The 7,927-nt window shown below is 47.7% G+C and overlaps 1 protein-coding gene across 5 annotated transcripts; it reads right to left on the bottom strand.

The window, feature by feature from the left end:
* Positions 1–205: 205 nt before the first annotated feature.
* Positions 206–5,097, bottom strand: SPATA31G1 (SPATA31 subfamily G member 1). Of its 5 annotated transcripts, NM_001040412.3 has the most exons (3): positions 5,036–5,097; positions 3,707–3,781; positions 206–3,331 (listed from the first exon to the last, which is right to left on the bottom strand). In NM_001040412.3, exons 1-3 carry the CDS (start codon positions 5,045–5,047, stop codon positions 323–325), a joined length of 3,096 nt encoding a protein of 1,031 aa, NP_001035502.1. In that variant the 5' UTR covers positions 5,048–5,097; the 3' UTR covers positions 206–322. The 5 variants fall into 5 exon arrangements, with proteins under 5 accessions (NP_001035502.1, NP_001035501.1, NP_001274320.1 ...); NM_001040411.3 differs by lacking the exon at positions 3,707–3,781; NM_001287391.2 differs by lacking the exon at positions 5,036–5,097 and having other exon boundaries at positions 3,627–3,952.
* Between the last annotated feature and the right edge of the window lie 2,830 nt (positions 5,098–7,927).

Below are 7,927 nucleotides of genomic sequence, written 5' to 3'. Positions count from 1 at the left end.
TATGCTGACCTGGCCCTGTAGCCTCACCCTATAGAGTAGGGATGTGTGGACTCCAGATGTGATCATCTGTGAAGATCCACAAAAGAGTTAAGCCTGCAGAATCCTGAGTGCTCTACTGGGACTTGAAACTGAGGGGCTATGGCTGTAGCAGAATTGGGAATTGACATTTTCAGTACCCTAGATTCCAAAGAAGACATGAATGGGATTTATCTAATTCAGCTAGTTTATTAGAATTTCCATTTCTTGTCTCCACATCCCCACCTTCCCCCTGGTTTGGCTTCAGGTCTTGGCATACCAAGTGCTAGTATTACCAGCCTTTTCTCTACTGACTAGATTTGGTGGGTAGGGGTCGATGGTTATCCAGGCATTTGGCTAACACCTTTTGCAAACCCCTGGTAAGGGAAGCCTTGAGGGTAGGGAAGGAGAGATACTTCTCCATGTGGGCCCAAGGACAGTGCTTACAGTGGCGAGGGGTCAGGATGTCACTTGCTCTTCGCCCTGCCTCTGGCTGATCCTGGGGACCCGAAGCTTTGGGGAGAAGCAGCTGGGGAAGAGCAGTGTGTTGAGAGCTCTGGCCCCTGTGTTGAGACCTTTGGGGAAATGTGCTTACAGGGGCCTCTACTAGGCTTCTGGCCTGGGCAGGGTGGTTCTTCCCTGTGACTGTGGATAACCCCAACCTTGCAGTCCCTCTTCTATGGTCTCCTGCTTTGGGTTTCCTAGGGTGCTCTCTCTTTTTGGCTGAGGATGAGGCTGAAGCCTTGTCCTTTCTCTTGCCTGAGACCAGAACCTTAGAGTTTGAGGGTTCTCCTGGGCCTGGAGATAGATAGTCCACACCAGCCTCCATGTGTACACATGGCCCTTGGGATGGGACCTGGCTCACCATCTTCCCCTTCATTTTCTCCCCTCTCTGAGACCCTTGTTCCGCCCTGCCAGACTCCTGTGGCTGAAGCTGGGAAGAGGATTGGAAGTGATGACAGTGGGAGGACTGGACAGGCTGAGGTACTGTGCGCTGAACTTCTTGAGGATGACAACTTGAAGAGTGGGGGCATGGATTGGGGGGATAAATCTGCTGTGGTGGGCAGGAAGGGAGTCCCCAGAAGTCTGGAATTGTGGAGCTCAGAATAGGGGAGCTGCAAAATGATTGACTTGGGCCAGGGGCTCTGGAGGCAGGGCTCTGCCGCAGTTTCTTCAGCCTGAGTTTCAGCTCTCTACTCCACTGCCAGGCATGGATCCCAGGATGGGTGAGCAACTCTGGGACAGTCCATCTCTGGGAGAGTGGGGCCTCTGCCTTAACCCCTGGGCACGTTACTCCCTTGGGTAGACCAGGATGAGTGCGTTCAATCTTCACAGCTTCAGCTAGGGTGGGAGGCTGGGGTACTGGGTGTAGGGGATCCACTGCCAGAGGGCTGGGGCCTTGGGGAACTTCTCTTTGTTGCACATTTCTCCACACAAGTTCAAGGTCAATGTGTGGCTCTGGTAGAGGAGTAGAGAGTGAGCTGGGGGCTGGGAGCTCAGTGGCCCAGTGGTTCTTTCTTTGCTCCACTGCCTCCCCGTCAGGCTTATAGTTGCTTTGGTCTGCGATAGGCTCACTTACGTGGGACTTTGAAACAGAGTTTGAGGATGGGCTGGAGCCCCTACCTGGGAACACAGGAACACAGTTTTCTTTTTGCTCCATTTCCCCTACAATAGACTGAGAATCAGACAAGACTCCCAGAGGGCTGGCTCCATGCAGGTCTTGGGGTAAGTTACAAGCTGGGTGCTTAGAGGCCCAGGAGTTTTTTGTCTTTTGTATGTCCCCACATCTAGCTTCAGAATCAGACAGGACCCCCATGGATCTAACTCTGAGCAGCTCCGGTGCAAGAGCTGGGGGTGGGCTGAGGGCCAGAGATGGAGACCTAGAAGCCGAGGAATTCCTGGAATGCTCAGTATCCTTCCATGTAGCTTCTGATGTAGCGAGGCATTCCCCAGGATTGATTCTGTGTGGTTCCATAAGGGTGGTTGGAGGTGTGCTATGAACAGGGTCTGGGGAATCAGATGCCCAGAGGTTCTCTTTCTGCCCCATGGTCTCCCACAAAGCTTTGGATTCAGACAGGACTCCCTGGGGGCCCATTACTAGAGACTCCAGGAGAGGGACTGAGGGAAGGCTGGGAGGTGAAACTGGGTCTGCAGGGACCCAAATATTTTCTCTACTTTGCATGCCCTTCCATGGTGTCTCAGATGCTGGTGGGACACATTCAGGGCTGGTTCCAGAGAGCTCTGGGTTGAGGTCCAAGACTGGAGACTCAAAAGCCCAGAGGTTTCCTGAGTTTTCTCTGCATTCCCACTGGGGCTTATATCTGGATGGATCTTCCAGGGAACTCTCTCTCTGGAGTTCTGGCAGGGAGTCTAGGGGAGGGCAAGGGACTGGCATTGAAGACTCAGAGGCCTGAGGTTTCTCTCTGTATCCCACGGTTCCCCAGAAGTCCTTAGATATAGCAAGTCCTCCTTCAGGGCTAACTTTTCTGGGTTCTGACAGAGAAGCTGGGGATTGGCAGGGGGGTGGCATCGGAGGCTCAAAAGCTTGGGGCATCTTTTTGTGTCCTGTGGTTTCCAAATGAGTCTCATATCCAGGGAGAACTTCCAGGGGGCTAGTTCCAGGGGACTGTGTGGGTGCCTCAGCGCCAGATAAAACTCCCTTGTGGTCCACAGGGAAGGGCCTCAGATGGAGGAGTAGTGATGAGACAGAAGGAGAAGATGGAGGTGGAAGCAGCTGAGGATCGGGGGCCATCCCTTCTAGATCTTCCATAGTATGGGCCCCATGGGTAGAAAACTGGGCTGAGGAGTGATACTGGGGAAGCAACAGGTTGGACCTAGGTAGGAAGGCAAGCTTGTTGAAGAAGACAGAAGAACAAACAGACCACTTCAGAGGAGAGGGGCCACCTGAGCTCAGGAAGATGGCCTCCAAGGACTCGCTGTGCAGAGAGGGGAGACCCCAGAAGAGCTGGCTTTTTCTCTGCTGCTGGCGGTTCCCTGATGCTATCTTGTGCCTCACAGGAAAGCTGGTCAGAATCTGGAAGATGGGGAAGGATCTGGAAGGGCTCACGGGCTGCATGACTGTTTGCTCTGGTATCCCTATAGCCTTGAGGAGGCCCTCAGAACCACAGGATGGCTGGGGTGGGGCTGGAGTGGCTTGCTCTCCAGTGGGAGCTTCTTTGGTAGGAGAACATGGCTTCAGTGGATCCAGAGATGCCTCGTCTTCCCCCTCTTCCTCTTCTTCCCCTTCTTCCTCCACTTCTGATTTCTGCTTACACAGGTGATCAAGGAAGGCCACACGGTGCAGAAGTGGTAGTTCCTGGGAAGTAGATAAAGATATTCTCAGGCATGAAGCCTTTTCAGATACACAAGGTTTGCTATGAGGCACTCAGTCTGCTCCATATCCAGAGTGGACAGTTACTCACCTAATCCCACGTGTGTGGCCAGTCACCTACACAGCTCCTCATCTAGTGTTAATGGTCATTACCCAGTCCTCATTTGGAGATCAGTATTCCCTCATTCTACATCTAGAATCCATGGTCACTCACCTGGCTTCAAATCTAGTGTCAGTGGTTACTCACCCAGCCTCACATCTAGGGCTTATAGTCACTCACCTGGGCCCACATTCATACCAATGACCTCACATGTGGTGTCAGCAGTCATTCATCCAGCTGTACAGTCACAGGTCACCCACCTTGCCTTGCACCATATTCCCAGAGCACCAGGGATGAAGCTGTCGCAACCTCCCAAGCTGCCACCATCTCTGAATCTGCCAAACCACGAATAAGAATAGTGTCACCAGATTTCCTGGACTCTGGAAGCAGCTGCTGCCGCAGTGTCTGCAGGCTAGGGCATGGGTCAGTTGGCCCCAGAGAAGCCCCATATCCCCCTTAGCCCCAAGCAGGTCCTCCAGCAGCCATTCCATTTCCCTTAGCCTTCTGGCAGTTTACCCTGAGGTCATCATTGCATCACAGAACAAAGAACTCCCATCCCCCACAGAGGCCTGGGCTTAACAGCCTTCTCCCTGAATTTAGAACCAAAAAAAATTTCCTCTATCAGGCAATTCATGCTTCACACAGTGAAATGTGGGTGATCCCCTTTTGATTGCCCAGTTCAGAATTATGCTTCAGGCATTGTGGTTAAGTACATGGATTCTAGCACCGAACTGCCTTATTCAAATCATAGCTCTGTCATTTTCCTACCTGTGAAAACTCAAACTACTTAATTTTTTCAGTGCCTCATTTTTCTTATCTATAAAATAAAGATATCATTATCTTTATTTTATAGATATTTATTGTTATTATTTTGAGACAGAATCTCACTGTGTCACCCAGGCTGGAGTGCAGTGGTGTGATCACGACTCACTGCAGCCTCAACCTCCTGGGCTGAAGTGCTCCTCCTGCCTCAGCCTCCTGAGTAGCTGGGACCACAGGCATGTGCCACCGTGCCCAGCTAATTTTTATATTTTTTATTTTTGTAGAGACAGGATCTCTCTATATTGCCCAGGCTGGTCTCGACTCCTGAGCTCTAGGGATCCTCCCGCCTTGGCCTCCCAAAGTGGTGGGATTATAGGCGTGAACCATCTTGCCTGGCATATTATTCTTAGAGGCAAGGTCTCATTGTATTGCCCCGGCTGGTCTTGACCTCCTGAGCTCAAGAGAGCCTTCCATCTCAGCCTCTGAGTAGCTGGGATTACAGGCATGGGCCACTCTACCCAGCACAATAATATTATTACTTACTACACAGGGTTGTTTTGAGGATGTAAAAAGTAAAGTAGAGGTTCCTCTTCAAAGACTTTCCTCTCCATCTTATTAGGAATAAATAGTAACATCTCTTAGAAGCAAAATTTATTCAAAGACCTCTGTTAACATTCTTAAATATCTGCTAGCCGTAATAAATCAATTTACTTTATGTTCTTAGCTTCCACAATTTAGCCTAAATATTTGCCCTGGCATGCTTATATTGGTCCAAGCAAGCATTAGGTCATAGCCTGTTCCTCTTCCTTATTTGAAGGTGTTTTTACCTTTCTCAGCATTCCACAAGTTAACTTCCTCCTTCCTTTGTTCTCTGCCTTTGCCTCTTTTTAAAAAGTTCTAAGTTGTTAGCCAATCAGGACAAATACAGAAAGCGAGGTCCTGTTCCAGCCAATGGAAACCGGACACAGCAGTAGGGTGGATGCGTCAGGCTATAAATGACCCTGCCTCCTTTGTTCGGTGTACTCTTCATGGCAAAACTGCTGGTGAGTGTACCGTTTCTGCAGAAAGTAAAAATAGCCTTGCTGAGGAAATTAAATTTATGTTCAAGTGCTATTTCTTCACGGCACTGGGGAACAAGCATTTCTAACAAGGATTAAATGAATAAATATATATGCTTAGAATAATATAATGTATGCTGTATTAAATTTCTATTTAAGGTTTCTAATTATAAGCTTCATTCTGTCTTTAATGGTTGGGGTCTATCCCCTCTTTTTTATGCTCGTGTCAGCTGTGAACTGTGAAGCATTCATGTTAAGGATGACAAATAAATGTGCTTTGCCATTCTCATTTCCTCCATTTCCCCCTAAAACCACCACTTTGTTCCATGTCGGCCCTTCCTTTCAGGGCCACGCTTCAATCCCTGTCCTCATTAAAAGCTGATTTGTTCTGGTGGAAAGTGTGCTGAGCTGAAAGTGAGGAGACTTGGGTTCTCTAGCTCCATCACTGATCCACCACATGATCTTGAGAAACCAAAGAGAGGTTTCTCCATTGGTACCATGAGTTGGACTAGATTGATTGATTGATTCATGTAACATTTGTTGAATGCCTGTTATGGACCAGGTATTGTGCTCAGTCTTTAAACTGCAGAAGTAAGATAGAGTCTTTGCACTAAACTAGGTCCCATTTCATTGGGGGATCAGTGAAGTAACAGGTAATGAAAATAGAGATGCGCACAGAGTTTTATGGGGCCAGAGAACAGATTCCCACCAGTCTGAAGAAGGAGGTTGATGGTGAGGGGTGCTTCCCAGAGGAGATGATTAATGCTTTATTTGAGGAACCAAGAAAGTGAGGATGTAGTGTAGGGAGTGAGAGAAGGACAATCCAGGCAGTAGGAACAGCCTGTGTAAATGTGCTAGGGCAGAGAAACTATGCCCCATTATGGAAATTGAAGGTATTTCAGTGTGGCTGTAGTTTTGGATGGAGGTTGGGGAAGTGGTAGGAGATGAACCTAGAAAGACAAGATCACAAAGTCCCTGAACACCAGGCTAAGAAGTTGGAACTCTGTCACTTTTCAATGTGAAACCATTGAAAAGTTTTAAACAGGGAAGTGACAAGATGAAGTTTGTGTCTCGGAAATAACATTCTAGTGAGGGTAAAGACACAAAAGGCAAGAGGTTAGGTGAGTCTTGCTTTAGTTAAATAAAAACTAAAGTGAGGCCTGAACCATGTCAGTGATGGTGGGCATGGGAAATATGGATTCAAGTAGAACTCCAGAGATAAAATTGATTAGACTTGTTTACCAATAGGATAGGTTGGGGGAGAGAGGAAATTGAGGGTGACTCCAAGATTTCTGACTTGGGAAACTGGATGTTTGTTGGTGCAATTTCACTGAGATAAGAAACAAAGACCTGGGAACCAAGTTATGGTGGTTGGGGGGCGGTGATGGGTTCCATTTTAGATATTTGAATTTGAGGTTCTGGTGTCACCTCAAGGTAAAGCTAGGCAAGGGACAGATACATGGATCTGAAGCTTGGGAGAGCAGTCTATGGGGGGGATGTAGATTTGACCTCTAGCAGCATATATGTAGCAGCTGAAACCATTGAAGGGCATAAAGATGACCTACTTATGTGTAACATTTGGCCCAGACAGTGCTTTTTAACTGTGACCAACGGTGGTTTTTTTTGTTTTGTTTTGTTTTTTTTGAGATGGAGTCTCGCTCTATTGCCCAGGCTGGAGTGCAGTGGCGCGATCTTGGCTCACTGCAAGCTCCGCCTCCTGGGTTCATGCCATTTTCCTGCCTCAGCCTCCTGAGTAGCTGGGACTACAGGTGCCTGCCACCGCACCTGGCTGATTTTTTGTATTTTTAGTAGAGACGGGGTTTCACTGTGTTAGCCAGGATGGTCTCAATCTCCTGACCTCGTGATCTGCCTGCCTCAGCCTCCCAAAGTGCTGTGATTACAGGTGTGAGCCACCGCGCCCGGCAGCCAACGGTGTTTTTTTTTAAAAAAAAACTTTAATGAGTAGCCAATATTGTAAATCAGTAGATCGTACATAATATTTCCAACTTAAAATCTGGCAACACTGGACTTATATTCCCACAAAGTAAAGGCTATTTGGAGCTAAGTAGCAATTGCTCCCTTTGGAATGAACTTGTGCTCTCCAGTTCACTGCAGTTCTCACCCTGTTCTTAGAGTAAATGCCAAGACTGGGTATGGTGACTACTCACACCTGTAATCCCAGCACTTTGGAAGGCCAAGGCAAGAGGATTGCTTGAGACCAGGAGTTCAAGGCTGCAGTGAGCTATGATCATGCCACTGCACTCCAGTCAGGGCAACAGAGTGAAATCATGTCTCTTAAAGAAAAAAAAAAAAAAAGTTTATTGCCAAGACTAAGGGCTCGTTGCTGTTGATCATTGTGCCTATGATTTTGTTTTCTTCCACTTGTTTATTTTTACTAATTTATATTATCTGCGTGGTATTTGAATTTGCAACCACTAGTTGAAGAAGGTAAATTGAGTCCTGATGGAAGACAGAGAAGGTAATACTCAACACTTATTCTGTGCTTGTTTATTTACATTATGGCAAGATAATTTACCAGTTTCTGTCTCCTACTCCTTGCCAGATGGGATGACTAGTAGGATAAAAAGATAACTTGGCTTAATTTTCTTCCAGGAATACTGGATTTCTTGTCTCATGTGATTGCTTGTTTGTTTTTTTGGG

This window comes from Homo sapiens, chromosome 9 (genome assembly GCF_000001405.40).
Source record: "Homo sapiens chromosome 9, GRCh38.p14 Primary Assembly".
Taxonomy (NCBI): Eukaryota; Metazoa; Chordata; class Mammalia; order Primates; family Hominidae; genus Homo; species Homo sapiens.
This window is presented reverse-complemented; position numbering and strand designations above follow the sequence as displayed.

Bases quoted from the DNA above. Each gene is read 5' to 3' on its own strand.
- SPATA31G1 (NM_203299.4), bottom strand. From the start codon at position 3,937: ATGGAATGGCTGCTGGAGGACCTGCTTGGGGCTAAGGGGGATATGGGG. The intron at 3,332-3,706 runs GTGGGTGACCTG...TCTACTTCCCAG, and splicing joins GGAATATGGTGCAAGGCAAG to GAACTACCACTTCTGCACCG.